General features: G+C 40.3%; 1 protein-coding gene across 10 annotated transcripts in view; it reads left to right on the top strand.

Annotated features, from left to right (window-relative positions):
- RNF216 (ring finger protein 216) overlaps positions 1-18,545 on the top strand; it is a 161,617-nt gene that overhangs the window by 22,623 nt on the left and 120,449 nt on the right. For 6 of the 10 annotated variants that reach the window (NM_207111.4, XM_047420525.1, XM_005249785.3 and 3 more), the window contains 2 exons: positions 6,062-6,195; positions 17,226-18,068. The exons of 1 other annotated variant lie outside the window; for it this stretch is intronic. In NM_207111.4, coding sequence (NP_996994.1) covers positions 6,062-6,195; positions 17,226-18,068 — 977 coding nt within the window. The remainder of the gene's footprint in view (positions 1-6,061; positions 6,196-17,225; positions 18,069-18,545) is intronic. 3 more of the 10 variants (NM_207116.3, NM_001377156.1, XM_047420526.1) reach the window with 1 other exon arrangement.

Raw genomic sequence — 18,545 nt, 5'->3', positions numbered from 1 at the left:
TTATGAAATACCACCCCCATGATCCAATTACCTCCCACCAGGCCGCATCTCCAACATTGGGGTTTACAGTTGAATATGAAATTTGGGCAGGGACACAGATCCAAACCATACTATTCCACCCCAGCCCCTCCCAAGTCTCTTGTCCTTCTCACATTGCTAAATACAATTGCGTCTTCCCAACAGTCCCCAAAGTCTTAACTCATTCTAGCATTAACTCAAAAGTCCAGTCTTATCTGTGACAAGTCTAGTCCCTTCCACCTATGAGCCTGTAAAGTCAAAAACAAGTTAATTATTCCCAAGATACTATGGGGGTACATGCATTGCGTATATACTCCTGTTCCAAAAGGGAGAAATTGGCCAAAAGAAAGACGCAAGAGGTCCCACACAAGTCCAAAACCCAGCAGGGCGGTCATTAAATCTTAAAGGTCCAAAATAACCTCCTTTGACTCCACATCTCACATTCATGGCACACTGGTGCAAGGGATAGGCTCCTGAAAGTCTCGTGCAGTCCTGCTGTCTCAGGAGTGACACAAGTGGAAGAAAATCTGCAAATAAGGGGACCCACACTGTTGAAATCAGTGTTGCTCAAGAGTCAACTGTGTATTTGGCTTTCAGAGCATTTAAAATTGAGCAAATTTTATTAGGTCAAATCAAGAGTAATAAAATTGCTCAAGCTATGCACATTATGAGTGCAAAAGGAGGACTCATTTTTAGGATTTTATTAATAATGTATTCTAACTTGGTAGTGATTGTAGCCATAATTTATTGGATTCAGGCAATTTTAAATCTTAGTTATAACTTGTATTTACGATCATTTCAAAATTTTCTGTACATGTATATCCAATTAATTTTATAGTTGTTTTTTAATTGGATCTTAAATATACTTGAACAGTTTCTTTAAGAACAACTAATTCATTTTGGAAAATTACTGACTTTGGAGATATATTTTGTTAGACGAGTATGTATACTCTGCACCCATCATGAGAACTTTTTTCAGGTATATAGAGTTTTGTTTTTATTAGCTGCATTAATTTTTTTTTCTTTAATCAAGAGAGGGTCTCACTATGTTGCCTGGCAAGGCTGGTCTTGAACTGCTGGGCTCAAGTGATCCAATTGCCTCTGCCTCACGAAGTGCTAGGATTACAGGTGTGAGCCACTGCTCCTGGCCAACATTAATAATTTTTTATTATGCATCAACCTCTGTAGTTTTGTTAAAAGTGTATAAAATGAATATACCACCTGAATTATGATATGGAACATTTTCTATCACTCCAAAAAGATTCCCTTGTGCCTCTTTGCAGTTAGTCCTTACCTCACTCCAGGCCTAAGGAAACCACTAATCTGCTTTTTTTGACTCTGTCATTTCATATAAATGGAATTATACATACTGTATATATTCTTTGTACTGGAATTCTTTTGTGAAAGGTAATGTTTTTGAGATTCATCCCTGTTGTTGCATATATCAGTAACTCATTCCTTTTTAATTGCTAAATAGTGTTTTTACCTACTCATCTACGATTCTGTACCTAGTGAAAATAGGCTTAAAAATGAAGGTAAAATAAAGATTTAAAAAAATTTTGTTAGGAAGGAAAAAAGGTACATCATGCAGATAGCCACACACACACACAAAAAGAGCTGATATATCTGTGTAATATCAAATACAACTGATAGAAACTCCAGCCAGAAGCATTGATAGAGTTCATAATGATAAAAGATTCAGTGCACTGAGAAGATAAGCTAATCCCTGTATACTTAGTAACATGATAGGAAAATATACAAAGCAAAAATTGGCAGATCTAAAAACAGAATTGGACAAATCCACCATTATAGTGGGGATTTTTAAGACTTGTTTCAGTAACTGAAAGAACAAGCACATACACACACTTGTATGAATATAGAAGATTGGAAGAACATGGTCAACAAATGTAATAAACATAGGTGGGATTCTGCACCCAGTGTGAGAAGAAATCACAATGAAAATTAGAAGATATTTTGAATTACATGATAATGAAAATGTAGCCTATTACATTTATGAGATACATGTAATGCCATGTTTTGAGGAAAACTTATGGCCTAAAATACATTAGACAAGAAGTAAAAAGCTCAGCCAGGCGCAGTGGCTCATGCTTGTAATGCCAGCACTTTGGAAGGCCAAAGTGGGAGGATAACTTGAGCCTAGGATTTCGAGGCCAGCCTGGGCGACATGGTGAGATTCTCATGTCTGCAAAAAATTAAATATAAAAAATTTAGCTGGGTATGGTGGTCTTGGGTTTACCAGGTCCCAGGTACTTGGGATACCAAGATGGGAGGGTCACTTGAACCCAGTAGTAGGTCAAGGCTGCAGAGAACTTGTGTTCATGCTATTGTACTCTAGCCTGGGCAACAGAGAGCGACCCTGTCGCAAAAACAAAAAACAAAACAAAAACAAACCCAGCCTAGCCAACATGGGGAAACCCCATCTCTACTAAAAATACAAAAATTAGCCGGGCATGGTGTTGGAAGCCTGTAATCCCAGCTACTCAGGAGGCTGAGGCCTGAGAATCGCTTGAACCCAGGAGGTGGAGGTTGCAGGGAACCAAGATAACTAGGGCTCAGCAAATTTGAAGAGCTAAGTAGTTAATATTTTAGCCTCGCGGGCCATATGGTTTCTGTTGCAACTATTCAGCTATACCATTGTAGCATGAAAGCAACTGTATTAGTCTGCTTTCACACTGCTAGGAAGAAATGCCTGAGACTGGGTAATTTATGACGGAAAGAGGTTTAATTGACTCACAGTTCCATATTGCTGGGAAGGCCTCAGGAAAATTACTGTCATGGCGAAAGGCAAAGGAGAAGCAGGCACCTTCTCAGGAGGCAGGATGGAGTGAGTGCAAGCAGGGGAAATGCCAGTGCATATAAAACCATCGGACACCTCAAGACTCACTCACTATCACGAGAGCAGAATGGGGGAAACTGCCCCCATGATCCGATTACCTCCACCTGTCCCGCTCGTGACTTGTGGGGATTATGGGATTACAATTCAAGATGAGATTTTTGGTGGGGACACAGCCAAACCATATCAATCTATAGACAGTATATAAATGAATGAGCATGATTGTGTTCCCATAAGGACGTGAAGCAACGTACTATCCTACACTGCAGATGGGAGTGTAAATTGGTACAATTTGGAAAATTTGTTTAGTGTTATCTGCCAAAATGGAGCATATGCTTACCCCATGACTCAGCATTTCCACTCCTAGAATGTATCCAGCTAAAATGAGTACACCAAAGACTTGCACAAGAATGTTCACAATAGCACTATCCACAGTAGCCTAAACTGCCACATACTCAAATGTCTATCAACAGAAGAAGGAATAATTTTATGTTATATTCATATAGTGGATTATATACAAGAAAGAATTATAACAGCATGCAGTATGGATGTATCTCAAACATTATTTGCAAGAAAGAGAAGAATATATACTCAAAAACATGCAAAACTTATCTGCGCAATTAGAAATCCTCCCTTTGAGGACGAAGGAGAGCAGAAATTGGGAGAAAGCACAAGGGGGCTACTAATGTGCTAGAAATATTTCCTGACCTTGTGGTGGTGATTATACACAGATGGCCCTTTGTATTAATTCATAGAGCTTGTACACTTGATTTATAGACCATGCTGTGTTATTCTTTCAATTTTTTTTTAAGTATACTTTGAAAAGCTAATTGGAACCTTACATGTGGTGTGTTGTGTGGTATCTTGTCAAACACTGGACTTTATTATAAGGTGATAGGTTCCTTCCTTCCTTCCTTCCTTCCTTCCTTTCATCCTTCCCTCCCTTCCTTCCTTTCTTCCTTCCCTCCCTTCCTTCCTTCCTTCTTCCTTTCCTCTCTTTCCTTCCTTTCTCCTTCCTTCTTTCCTTCCTCCCTCCCTCTTTCCTTTCCTTCCTTTCCTTCCTTTCCTCCTCTCTTCTCCTTTCCTTCCTTTCCTTCAGTTCCCTCCCTCCCTCCCTTGTTTCCTTTTTTTTTTTTAGCCTGAGATAGGGTCTTGCTCTAGCACCCAGGCTGGAGTGCAGTGGCATGATCTTGGCTTACTGCAGCCTCCATCTCCCAGGTTAAAGCGATTCTCCTGCCTCAGTCTCCCAGGTAGCTGGGATTACAGTTGCATGCCACCACACCCGGCTAATTTTTGTATTTGTAGTAGAGATGGGGTTTTACCATGTTGGCCAGGCTCGTCTCGAACTCCTGGCCTCAAGTGATCTGCCTGTCTAGGCCTCCCAAAGTTCTGGGATTACAGGCGTGAGCCACCGTGCCCAGCCTAAACCAACTTTTTCATTGGGTACACCAAGATTGTGTGTCTTTTTCTTGGGTCAGTTCTTCAAGAGAGGAATCTACAATTTCCTGCGGGTGCAGGGGTCTTATTCACTATGGCCATTTTCAGTGGTGTACATTTTCTCTCTTGACTCCTGTGCCTCATGTACCAATGGCTAGAGCTTTTCTTTGCTCAGTATCTCTTCAGAATGATCCCCCATAGCGTGTGTCTTCTGAAATGGCTAAGTGAGGAGCTTGGCAACTCCTCATCCTTAAAAATCCACAATTAAGTCAGGCATGGTGGCTCATGCCTGTCATCCCAGTGACTTCTTGGGAGGCCGAGGTGGGAGGAGCACTTGAGGCCAGGAGTTCAAGGCCAGCATAGGAACATAGTGAGACTCCATCTCTACAAAAAAAAATTTTTTTTTTAAGTAACTGTTCAAAGTAGTGTGCACCTGTTGTCCTAGCTACTTGGGAAGCTGACATGGGAGGATTGCTTGAGCCTAGGAGGTTGAAGCTGCAGTGAGCTATGATCGCACCATTGTACTGCAGTCTGGGCAATAGAGCAAGACCCTGTCCCAGACAAATGCGCACACACACACACACACACACACACACACACACACACACACACCACACAAAAGAAAAACATTACAGCTTTAATGGAAGAATTTCAAAAATTGCAGTGATGAGGTGCGTCATTTCGTTTCTTTCTTCTTCTCTTCTTTTAGGTCACTTAATGCATTTTTTTTAAAATTTGAGATGGGGTCTCACTCTGTCACCCAGGCTAGAGTGCAGTGTTGCGATCTCAGCTCACTGCAACCTCTGCCTCCCGAGTTCAAACGATTCTCCTGCCTCAGCCTCCTGAATAGCTGGGATTACAGGCATGCGCCACCACGCATGGCTAATTTTTGTATTTTTAGTAGAGACGGTGTTTCACCGTGTTCGTCTGGCTGGTCTCAAACTCCTGACCTCATGATCCACCCACCTCGGCCTCCCAAAGTGCTGGGATTACAGGCGTGAGCCACTGCTCCCGGCCAATGCTTTTTTTTAAAATTGTCCCTCTTAACCTTTGATATTCCCATGGAACTAGACAGGAAAAAATACCAGTTTGTGTTACCCAGTAATTCATATCAAACATGGCCTGTTTTCAAATTGATAAAAGGAAGTAAAAACCTTGAATAGAATTACTACATTTAGATGGTTAGATTATATATATTTTAAAGGAAACTTGGAAAGTTAAATTGCTGACTGTCATAGATGCTAAATGGGTGCTTGACTAAAGCATTGACATAGGTTTGCTTAAATGATTCTTAAAGTTTGTGTTTAAGATGAGCAAATTTCAATATTTTAAACAATTAAAATTTTACTATTTTTTGAATGATAATTTTTTCAGACCAAACAATTTAAATAAAATAGACATTTATTCCCAGGAGGAATAGAGATGGATTGGGAGACCATTATTTCACTTTAAAGAAATTGGCAGTCAAGAAAATTTTGTAAACAGATTTCTCCAACCTAGTATGAGAAAAAGTTGATAATCTTGAGCATAGTAATTGTTAGATGTTCTCTAGCAGTTCCCAAAATGTGTTATTGGCAAAAGTCAGCATAGAAACATGGCTCTTAATGCTTAAGTGCACGGGCTGCTTGAGGAGGTACGTTACACTAGTAGCCATGAAGTTGGCTTTAGGCTGTACCCCTGTCAGGAAAAACTTAAAGAGTTGGATGTGATAGTGCCAACCTCCCAGTAACAGTGTTCTCTGCTTTCCTGTAGAGTGGATCAATCTCCGAGATGGGCCCATCACCATATCTGACTCCTCAGATGAGGAAAGGATTCCAATGCTGGTCACCCCAGCTCCTCAGCAGCATGAAGAAGAGGACCTGGATGATGATGTCATCCTGACAGAAGTGAGTTTTCTTTAAACTTACAATGAGACATTATTGCAAGTTGGTGATCTGATTTTTCAGCCACTCTTGTGGGCCTTGTTGTAGAACAGCACCTCTTGTACTCGTTCTGAGAACAGCCCCTTTTCCATTCTACCTCGTGTACTCTTAGATTTAGAAGCTGTATGTTTCAGTCTGTTTCTGGATTGAATATCTGCACCATTGTTCCATCTGACTATTAACGCACCAAATTCCACTGTTGTCATTGCTACAACATTATAGTGTATCTTACTGTTGGATTGGCCTTATATTTTCCATATTATCCCACATTTTTTCAGAATCATCCTGGATATTCTTGCACTTAAATTTTTATATGGATTTTACAATCAACTTCTTTAGTTCCAAAATATAAAGATATATATATAATCAGTTTGCGTAATCCAAAACAAATCTTCCTGTTATATTTATAGAGCAATTTTTATGATACTACTCTTTCTAACCAAGAACAAATTTTGTCTTTTCATATAGTCAAGGCTACTTTAATATTCCTCAGCCAGAAAGCATTTTGAATTTTTCTTAATATAGATCTTAAGCATTTTTTGTTTTTCTTGGTTATTTTATATTTTCTGTTGCTTTTGTGACTGACATCTTTTCTTTCATTGTACTTTCATTTTTTTTATTTTTTTGAGACGGAGTTTTGCTCTTTTCCCAGACTGGAGTGCAGTGGCGCGATCTTGGCTCACTGCAACCTCCGCCTTCTGGTTTCAAGCAATTCTCCTGCCTCAGCCTCCTGAGTAGCTGGGATTACAGGCGCCCGCCACCAGGCCTGGCTAATTTTTGTATTTTTAGCAGAGATAGGTTTAACTATCTTGGCCAGGCTGGTCTTGAACTCCTGACCTCGTGATCCGCCCCCCTCAGCCTCCCAAAGTGCTGAGATTATAGGCGTGAGCCACTATGCCTGGCCCTTTCATTGTACTTTTTAAACTGTTTTTTTTAAACTACAAATCTGTTGCTTTTTTTTTTTTTTTTTTTTTTTTTTTTTAGTTTAAAGATCCCAGTTGGCTTTATTGTGGTTCTAGGACCAAGGAACACTTCCTTCCATAAAATTCAGTAGGTGTTCCACTGAGCTGAGGAGAAGTGGTTGGCTTTATAGACAAAGAAGGGCTGAAGAGAGCAGAAGCAAAGTCCTTTCAAAGTTACTTTTCTTGTCAGGCTGGGACAGGGAGACAGAAAAGAGAAAAATAACTGATGAGTTAACATCAGGCTGCTTCAGGCCACCTTTCCTGTGTAAGAATTAAAGCAGAGGGAAATTCATTATGATTCCCAATGAAGATTTAAACTGCCCTGTTTAAGAAACTGGTTGTTCACTCTTTCTTTCAATTTCTAGGAAGATCAAATGAACTTCCCAGGTTTAGGTTTGGTAGTATGAAACTTACATGGATGCTTCCGTTTTGAGTTTTAGTCTGGTCTTTTGGGGTCTAGTGCACACACTTAGTCCAAAACAGTGGCCTCCTATAATTTTTATTTAACAATTCCTCCCTTTTTGTTAGGCTTTCACCCAGGACCTGACCAAACCTTCGGGCATCAGTGCCACTCTCAGTTACCATCATTTTGGGTTTCTGGTCCCAGCATATACTTTATAGGTTCTGGTGTCCTCATTATCACACTTTTTTTTGTTGTTGTTGTTCCAGCTGGAGAAAGACCATTTGGCATTTGACAGGTAGCTGTATGGAAACATTTAAAACTTTCTGAGGGTGCACAGCACACCAAGGAGACTGCCGTTAGGACTCTAAGGAGGGTAATACCCAGAGTTTGGGTGGAGGCTGCTCCTCGGCTAGGGCCCCAACTAAAACCAAATAGCTAGACAAGGAGTCTACCTTGTTTTAACCAAGTAGTCTGCTCTGCAATACTTGCTGTGTTTTATCTGTGTGCAAGCAAGAAGCGCCATCAACTGCACAGAATCTTCTCTGTTGAGTTAGTAGGTAATCTCGCATCCCATGACTGGGTTAAATTAAAGCGGGGAGTGCAGGTTATCTGCAGAGGCTACTACTGATGGTGAAATTTTCACTGCAACGTTGTCCTGCCACGTGAGAGGCATAAGTAAGGAAAGATTAAGGAGAGTAAGAGTCTCACATTTATGAGGGGGAGTCTTGCTCCAATGTGGTTTGCTGTTGTGAATGTCTCTGGTTGTGGCATTGGCCATCCTAGTGAACTCTGTGTGGCCCATGCATTAGGCATGAGACTTATTCCTTGCGATTTGCGTAGATTTGTCCAGCTTCAGCTTATAGGGCTTCAGGAACTAAGCAGGTTCCTGCTATCTAACAGGTAGATAATAAAAACTCAGTGAACAGTGCTGCAATCTAAATAACAGGCATACTGGAGTTTTCTTTTGAAATGTAATTTTCCTCTCTAAGTCACTCCCATTTCTACCAAAGATAATCACAGTAAGACCAGTTTGCCTGACTAACCACATATTTGAAAGCACATATTTAAATTTGCTTTGCTGGAAATTTTGATGAGGAATCTCAAATTGGTCTTTAAAAAATGTCTCTGCTAGGAAACCAAACCAGGGCAGACATTAGTCTTTGTGTGCTGTATCCAGCATCTGGAGGTTCCTGAGCCTGCCAGGAAGAGACAGATTTACTCACTGTAAGACAGGGAATGCTTAAAGCCAGGCATTGTTTGCACATTTTGAAATATGGCATTCCAGTCAAAGCCTTGGTAACATAACCAGTTTCCAGTTGTGTCCTTTTATTAAAAGGACAGATATGCAAATAATGATATTGCCATAAAAATAAGAATACTCATGAATAGTTTGCAAATTCTGGAGGGATCCTGTTGGGAGGAAAAGCAAATATTTTTATTTTTATTATAAAAGTATACCAAATTGCTATAAGCTATAATAACCTTAAAAGAAAAAAGTTTCCTTAAATCTGGAAAACAAAACATTAAAAGAACCAGCAGTGTTTCAAATAAAGAAGCCATAAAAACCCATGATTCTTCTTTTATCAATTCAGTCTCATGTAATTAATTTTTGCTGTTTGATCTTGGTTAGCAGTTACACAAATCCATTAGTTTCTTCATTAGAATTTTGGATATTTAGTCCGATAGTACGAACTCAAACTTGTATTTGTCAGAGTTCGTTTCATTTTTCGCATATACATCTTTGAACACACAGCACTTTAGGATTATAATTGCTTGCAAAGAGCTTTCAGAAAGTGTCAGAACAAAATAACTGTGGACAGCAAGACTTAAAATGGCTGTGGTTAAAAACCTGATGAGAGTTCATTATAATGACACAGTTGACAAGGAAATTTAGTTATTTCTGAACCAAAATTATGACTGATAGCATTTATACCAAGACATATCAGATTTCTAGGAACTTTATCTAATCTTGGAATATAAAAAACATCCATATAGGCCCGACGTGGTGGCTCACGCCTGTAATCCCAGCACTTTGGGAGGCCGAGGCGAGTGGATTACTTGAGGTCAGGAGTTCGAGACCAGCCTGGCCAACATGGTGAAACCTCGTCTCTACTAAAAATACAAAAATTAACCAGGCATGGTGGCACGTGCCTGTAATTCCAGCTACTCAGGAGGCTGAGGCAGTAGAATCGCTTAAACCCAGGAGATGGAGGTTGCAGTGAGCCAAGATCACGCCACTGCACTCTAGCCTGTATGACAGAGGGAGACCCTGTCTCAAAAAAAAAAAAAAAAAAATACATGGGCATTTTTGCTGATCAGAACACAGCTGTTTTCCAAATGGTCTTACTTACCAAAAATACCTAAGTCACGTGAACTAAAAGGCATTGGAGTTAGGTCCTGTTTTTCTGATAAAAGATTGAAGTGCTTCCTTTTTCCTTAAACCGATTATCAGAGTTCTCTCATATATTTTGGTAGAGAAATACCACACACACATAACGCATATATAGACACGGAGACACAGAGAAGCAGATCTTATAGCCTTCGTTAAAATTCTTTATTTGCCAGTTTTCAAATACAGTTTACACTTGAACAACATGGTGGTTAGGGGTGCCAACCCCTGTGCAGTTTAAAATCTGCATATAACTTTTGACTCCCCAAAAACTTAAGTACTAATAGCATACTGTTGACCAAAGCCTTAACTACTTAGTACTACTTAATAACTACTTAACTACTAATAGCATACTGTTGACCAATAACATGGTTAACATGCTTTAGTTAGTATATTATGTGTGTGTGTGTGTGTGTGTGTGTGTGTGTGTGTGTGTGTGTGTGTATGTATATAAAAAATATACTGCATTCTTATAATAAAGTAAGCTGAGGAAAGGTTAAGAAAATCATAAAGAAACTGGACACGGTGGCTCACGCCTATAATCCCAGCACTTTGGGAGGCCAAGGCCAAGAGTTCAAGACCAGTCTGGCCAAGATGGTGAAACCCCGTCTCTACTAAAAATACAAAAATTAGCTGGGCATGGTGGTGAGCACCTATAATCCCAGCTACTTGGAATTTAGCTTGTTTCTTAATGAGTTACTGACTTCAGGACTGCCAAAGACTAACCAGAGCTTCCCTGGGGTAGAGTTTCAGCATTAAAATGAGGTGGAATTTGGCTTTTTCCTTCAAAAGGTGAACTGTAGGGCACAAAGACAGTTTGTGTGCAGCCTCTATAAGCTGGCAGAAACTGGTTTAAGATCTATATGTAGTAGTTCATCAGAAAACGATGTTTGTAAGGCCAGTCCTCTGTCTGTGTTAAGAGTTGTAGTGGGTTTCTGGGTTGTAAATCAGAGTTAGGGAGGGGTCTGATATTTGCCTGATACCGCCTATTGGTATGGAGCTTAGCAACAGTTTGATTTTTCTTGGAGCATAGGAATTTAGGGAGTTGCTATACCAGTCACCCTGAACCCTGACCTCATAGGTGATTTTTGTTTCCTTAACCTTAAGGGTCAGGGCAGACACAGTGGCTCAAAACCTGTAATCTCAGTCCTTTGAGAGGCCTAGCAGGAGGATCACTTGAGCTCAGGAATTCAAGGCTGTAGTGAGCTATGATTGTGCCACTATACTTCAGCCTGGGACCTTGTATCTAGTTATTATTTATTTTTTCTTTTTTTTTCCCCTTTTTTTTTTTTTTTTTTTTTTTTTTTTTGAGATGGAGTCTCCTGTTGCCCAGGCCAGGATGCAGTGGTGCAATCTTGACTCACTGCAACATGCACGTCCCAGGTTTAGTGATTCTTGTGCCTCAGCCTCCAGAGTAGCTAGGATTACAGGTGTGTGCCACCGTGCATGACCTTTGTCTCTAATTTTTAAAAAACAGACAAAACCTTAGGATCTGTCTTAGTTTATAAAGGGGCATCTATTTTGCTTTCAGATAACACCGTAGAGCTGAAACATTTTGGAAATGGCTTTCTAAGGGTCACGTCTGATATTTCAGGCTTTGCCTGGCCCATAAGTAGACTGGATAGTACTTGTCAGGTCCTGAATATCATCCTCAGGAAAATAATATTCTGCTTCTGCTGCTTTTATCCGTTTTTACTCCCTCTCCTTCCCCTGGTCCCACCATGTGTTAGCTGGTAATAAGTCAGGTATCCTAGGATCATAAGTTATAATTAAGACTCTGAATTCTTTAAAAAATGTCTGAAAGTCTTCCCCAGGTTTAGGACATTTTTAAACTATGACCTGTTTTTATCCGTAGCATGTAAGTCAGGAATTTCATGCTACATTTTCAGGTTGTTCTGTTTTATAAGGAAACAGTTGAACTGTTCTTTTCAGAGAAGAAAGGCAACTCAGAGTTAGTAGACTGTGAATATTCAGGAGTAGATGCAGTATTCAGGTAAAATGGGAGCAGTAGGAGTTACATTAGTTTATCTGTCTTTGGTGTGGGAGGTAATCTTGCGTTTCTAGTTTTTCATTAGCTTTTTGCAGTTAATCTTTCAAAAAAGCTATTTTAGAATTCTGTTGTCTCTTTGAGGCTTCTGAATGCCAGTAAGAATCTCGTTCTCTCCGTGTAATTTGGAGTCTTAGGATTCAAGTGAATTTCTTGGATGAACACTCTTTTTCATCTGGAACATTCCACATCATGGTCATCATAATTCTGAATTATTTTTGGTAAAGTTTTGCCACTTGTGTAACTATTTGTAGCTTCTGGAGCCAGAAGTTTTATACATGAAAAGGCAAGACTACCAGAAGGCAGAGTACTCCAATTTTTAGAAATTAGGGATGCTGTTTTTATGTTGGACCTTGTATATCTCAGGACCGGGATGACGTTGGCTCCAAGATGTCCTACCTAGCCAATCACTTTGCAGTTTCCATCTGACTCAGTCAAGACACCTGAGGCCTCCCTCACCTAAGCCTGCAAGAAAAGGAATCCACATACCCACAGATTCCAAAAGCCTGAGTTTATACCCTCCCTGCACTCAACACAGCTGGTATCAGTTAGCTTTAAAACTGCACCCCTGTATGCTAGCAGCAAATGGAGTTGCACCCACATTTCTGTCTGGCCATAATCTTGGGGGCTTGACTCAAGCCGTAAAGACCTCTGCAAAGAGGGAGCAAAAAATACAGTTATTGCCAGTGATTTGTGAGCCCCCACATTCCCAAAAGTCCTGTGCCCTGCCATAGCCCAGATTAACCCTAGGTACTGCAAAGTCAAATGCTCTCTCACAGTGCAGCCTAACCTTGGTACCCTCAAAGTCAAAGAGACCAGGTGCTAAAAAGACAGCAGAGCTCAGACCTGAGAAGGACTTCCGACACTTGCAGCTCCATGAGGAAAACGTTACTTCCCAAAAAAGGGAGTTAGCCGTTTTTCCTGTGTTCCTTGAGTTACCTCAAGATATCAACAGTCTCTGTCCCTTTGGGTTGCCAGACCTGTCAAAGGACAAAATTACAACAAATTTAGTGTAAGGATCTCAACTGTCTTTATTGTGAGTCTAGCATCAGGCAATGCTTCATTCCAAAATGGAGAGTAAGTGTTCTCGTTGCTCTTTTTTTTTTTTTTTTTTTAAGACAGTCTCAATCTATCACCCAGGCTGGAGTGCAGTGGCCTGATCTCGGCTCACTGCAACATCCCGAGTTTAAGCAATTATCCTGCCTCAGCCTCCCGAGAGTAGCTGGGATTACAGGTGTGTGCCACCACACCCGGCTGATTTTTGTGTTTTTAGTAGAGATGGGGTTTCACCATGTTGGTCAGGCTGGTCTCTAACTCTTGACCTCAAGTTATCCACCCACCTCAGCCTCCCAAAGTGCTGAGATTACAGGCGTGAGCCACCGTGCCCTGCCCTTGTTGCTTTTTACATTAATTTTATACTCAATCACCTTACCATTATTATCTGTAGTGATTTTTCAGTTGACTCTTAATTTCTTGAAAACGTGCATCTGATCTGTCTTTCCAATTTTTATGCTTCTTTCACGTGTCTAATTATATTACGGTACTTCCTCAAAAATTTTAATAGTGTTGATAGAGAAGAGCACGAATGGCCACAGACATAAATGGGAATACTTAATGTTTCTTCATTAAATGTGATGGTGCCTTTTTGCTTTAGATACCATTTCTTTAGTTATGTTAAGGAACTAGTCATTTACTTTGACTTAAAAAAATTTTTTTAGAAGTGAATGTAGGATTCTGTTACATTCAATTTCAGCATCTTACAGAGATTGTCATGTGGTTTTTCTTCCTTGACCTCTTAGTTGGTAAGTTATTGTCTTTGAAAAGACTCCCCTTGGTTGTGGCATTGTAATGTAGTAGTAATGTGCTGCTGGGGATTCCATTTGCTAATATTAGTGTTTTCTCCGTAGATCTTACAGGTGGAGATTGGCCCGTAGGTTTGTGTGTACGTATGATATCCTTGACATGTTTATTTTTTTATAAGCATGATTCTGACTTCATAAAAAGTTTAGAAGTTTTCTTTTTTTTTTTTCTTTTTGGAGATGGGAGTTTTGCTCTGTCACCCAGGCTGGAGTGCAATGGCGCGATCTTGGCTCACTGCAACCTCTGCCTCCCAGGTTCAAGTGATTCTGCTGCCTCAGCCTCCCAAATAACTGGGATTACAGGCATGCGCTACCACTCCCAGCTAATTTTGTAGTTTTAGTAGAGATGGGGTTTCACCATGTTGGTCAGGCTGGTCTCAAACTTCTGACCTCAGGTGATCCATCTGCCTCAGGCTCCCAAAGTGCTGGGATTATAGGCATAAGCCAACCGTGCCTAGCCAGAAGTTTTCTTTATTTCTTCGAGGGTTGTTTTTTGTTTGTTTGTTTGTTTTGTAGAGTCTTCAGAACCAATGTATTCTTTGAGGTTTTGAATATATTCTATAGAATTAAACAAAACAGACTGTTGTTCTACTTTGTCTTAATCTGTGACTCCTTATGTTTTTTCCCTTATTTAGTTCGAATGGTTATTTGAACTAACCATTATGTGTCCCCCTCCTTCCCTTCCCTCCCTTGTTTTCCTTCCTCCTCCTCTACCAAAGAAACAGCTTCTTCTCTTCTACAACTCCAGTTATGTGTTTTGAAGACCTTTTTGTTCTTGACGTGTTCTCTTATCTAATGTTGCATTTTGTCTATGCCTTACTATGGCTATTCTGACCTGGCTTTCAATGCACTAATTTCTCTCTTCAACTGTATTTACTTAAAATGCTATATATCCATATGTAGCATTAGTTATTGTATTTTTAGTTTTTGTATTAGTTATTGTATTTTTCCATTCTGGAATTTGCGTTCGATTCTTCTTCTTCTTGGCTGCAGTTCTCAATCTAGTCTTTGATTTCCCTAAACATGCTGTTACTTTAGAATTCATGTTGTTAATTTCACTGTGTGAAACCCTTGTATATTTGTTTCTGTTGTCTGTTACTTCTCTTGTTTTGATTTTCTGTTGCTGCATTAAGTTCTTGTATGCCTAGTTATTTTTGATTGAGTGTAAGTCATTGTATATGAAAATTTTGGGATTCTGTATGATGTTGTTTCTCTATAGAGGATCTTAATTGGTTTCTTGAAGAAGAGTAAGAGCACCAGCACCTCACATTCAGGGAGTTAAACTCTCCACGCTGCGATTCAGTTCCTGGGAGGTCCAGGGTATTTCCAGCTTGGCCCTTACTTCAGTGGCATAGTCCTCAGGGACCCACCCTAAAGCCTGAGATTCACCATCTCCTTTCTTCTAGGGACTTCCCAGAGGAACTGTTGTTACCAGTTTAGCATGTATCCTTCCAGGTCTTTTCTTTGAATTTGTATGTATCCATGTGTATATACATGTGGGTACATATACATACTTTTAGAAATGATTTTGTTTGTGTCTTATTGACATATTTTAAGTAAATGGAATCATTCTGTGTATGATTTTGCAGCTTGCTTTTCTTCACTTAATGGCATTTCTTAGTGAAGCTTCCCATTTCAGTACAGACTGAGCTACCTCTTTTTTTGGTAGGGGTCAGTTGTAGAGTATTTTGTAGAACAAATAAGTAATAGTTTATTTAACCATTCACTCAGGGACAAACTTCACAATGTCTCTAGGCTTTTTTCTGTTTATGCTGAATATTCTTGTATATGCCCTTTTTCGATAGAGTTTATAGAACAGTATGAAAAAATGATGACAGACATACATTTTTTATTTATATTTATGTATTTGTGTATTTATTTATTTATTTGAGACAGAGTCTTGCTCTGTCTCCAGGCTGGAGTGCTGTGGTACCATCTTGGCTCACTGCAACCTCTTGACTCCCTGGTTCAAGCAATTCTGCTCCGTCAGCCTCCCGAGTAGCTGGGATTGCAGGCACACGCCACCATGTCCAGCTGATGTTTGTATTTTTAGTAGAGACGGATTTTCACCATGTTGGCCAGGATGGTCTCGATCTCCTGACCTCGTGATCCGCCTGCCTTGGCCTCCCTGAATGCTGGGATTACAGGCATGAGCCACCACGCCTGGCCTACGTTTTTTATTTTAATAAATAGTGCCAAATTTCTCTCCTAAATTCACCAGCAGTAAATGATAGTATAAGAATTTTCACACATCGGCCAAGCGCGGTGCCCCACACCTGTAATCCCAGCACTTTGGGAGGCTGAGGTGGGCCAGTCATCTGAGGTCAGGAGTTCAAGACCAGCCTGGCCAACATGGCAAAACCCTGTCTCTAACAAAAATAGAAAAATTAGCTGGATGTAGAGGTGTGCGCCTATAATCCCAGCTACTCGGGAGGCTGTGGCAGGATAATTGCTTGAACCTGGGAGGCAGAAGTTGGAGTGAGCTGAGATCATGCCATTGCACTCCAGCCTGGGCAATAGAGCGAGACTCTGTCTCAAAAAAAAAAAAAAAAAAAAAAAAAAAGATTTTTCACCATCCTCACCAATGCTTGGTATTATCTAATTTAAAAGTTTGCCGGTCTTACAGGGAAAAAAATACTGTCTTGTTTTAATTTTTCATTTTGCTAGTTACTAATGAGATTTAGATTTTTTTATATGTTTTTTGAACATTTCTTATTCTTCTGATGTGTTAGCATTCTTTCATTGTTGTATCTGCTGTGGAGTTATTTTTGTTTTAGTAGTCTCAGGTTAAATTATAATTCAGGGCTGGGTTCAGTGGCTCATGCCTGTAATCCCAGCACTTTGGGAGGCTGAGGGAGGCGGATCACTTGAGGCCAGGAGTTTGAGACGAGCGTGGCCAACATGGCAAAACCCCATCTCTCTTAGAAACACAAAAATTAGCTGGACATGTTGGCACATTTTTGTAATCCCAGCTACTTGGGAGGCTGAGGCACAAGAGTTGCTTGAGCCCGGGAGGCAGAGGTTGCAGTGAGCCGAGATCGCACCATTGCACTCCAGCCTGGGTAGCAGAGGAAAACTGTGTCTCAAAAATAAAAATAAATTATAATTCAAACTATATCTCAAGCTTTAATCTATGAATGACTACTTTGATTCTTACAGATAGTATATAGTGTAATCAAATTTCAGTGTTAAGATAAATGTAAAGAATAGGTATTGTTAAGGGAGATGGTGTTTTTGTTTCTTTCCTGTCCTATCTCGGAAGCTCAATATAAGTACATAAGGAGGGATAGGCATAGGAAAGAAATTGAATTATTAAAATTTCATTTTTTCTTAGACAAATAAACCTCAGAGATCACGACCCAATCTCATCAAACCAGCTGCCCAGTGGCAAGATCTGAAAAGGTTGGGAGAAGAAAGGCCTAAAAAGTCTAGAGCAGCATTTGAATCAGATAAGAGCAGCTATTTTTCAGTGTGTAACAACCCATTGTTTGATTCTGGGGCACAGGATGATTCTGAGGATGACTACGGTGAATTTCTGGATCTTGGGCCTCCTGGAATCTCTGAATTCACTAAGCCAAGTGGCCAAACAGAAAGAGAACCCAAGCCTGGACCGAGTCATAACCAAGCAGCAAATGACATTGTCAACCCCAGATCAGAGCAGAAAGTCATCATCTTGGAAGAAGGTAGCCTTCTTTACACAGAAAGCGATCCTTTGGAAACTCAGAACCAGTCATCCGAAGACTCAGAGACAGAGCTGTTATCAAATCTAGGAGAGTCAGCTGCTCTAGCAGATGATCAGGCCATCGAAGAAGACTGCTGGTTAGATCATCCTTACTTCCAGTCTCTGAACCAACAGCCCCGTGAAATAACAAACCAGGTCGTTCCTCAGGAACGGCAGCCTGAAGCAGAACTGGGCCGCTTGTTGTTTCAGCATGAATTCCCAGGGCCCGCTTTTCCAAGGCCGGAACCCCAGCAAGGTGGGATTTCAGGCCCCTCTTCTCCTCAGCCTGCCCATCCTCTAGGAGAGTTTGAAGACCAGCAGTTAGCAAGTGATGATGAAGAGCCAGGTCCAGCCTTTCCAATGCAAGAATCTCAAGAGCCCAATTTGGAAAACATTTGGGGGCAAGAAGCTGCAGAGGTAGATCAAGAGCTCGTTGAACTACTAGTGAAAGAAACGGTAAGTTTTATTTTATCAAGTAAATGTAGACACTACATATACTGAGTTTTTTTCTTTTTTTTTTTTCATTGCAAAAAAAAAAGTTGTTGGTATGCGTGGACTTCATTTTCCTAAGAAGTATATATCTAGATGTACAGAATAGAAGAGACACTCTGAAGACATGAAAATGGAATCAGGGTTCCTTTACTATACTTAACCTTCAGGAAGCTCTCTGGGATTCTAACTGCATATCATGGTGGCCTGGTGCTGTCATACCTGCAGTCCCTTGTTTTTTTCAAATTCCTTGAGTTCACTCCAAATGGAAACCCTTAAAGCAGTTTTATTGAATTACCTAGACCTATGCTGTCCAATATGGCACTTACTAGCTCCTTGTGGCTGTTTACATTTAAATGTCTTACAGTTAAATAAAATTTTCCAGTGGCATCAGTCACATCTTAACCTTAGTAGCCACATGAGGCTAACAGCTTACCTCATCAT

This window comes from Homo sapiens, chromosome 7 (genome assembly GCF_000001405.40).
Source record: "Homo sapiens chromosome 7, GRCh38.p14 Primary Assembly".
Taxonomy (NCBI): domain Eukaryota; kingdom Metazoa; phylum Chordata; class Mammalia; order Primates; family Hominidae; genus Homo; species Homo sapiens.
This window is presented reverse-complemented; position numbering and strand designations above follow the sequence as displayed.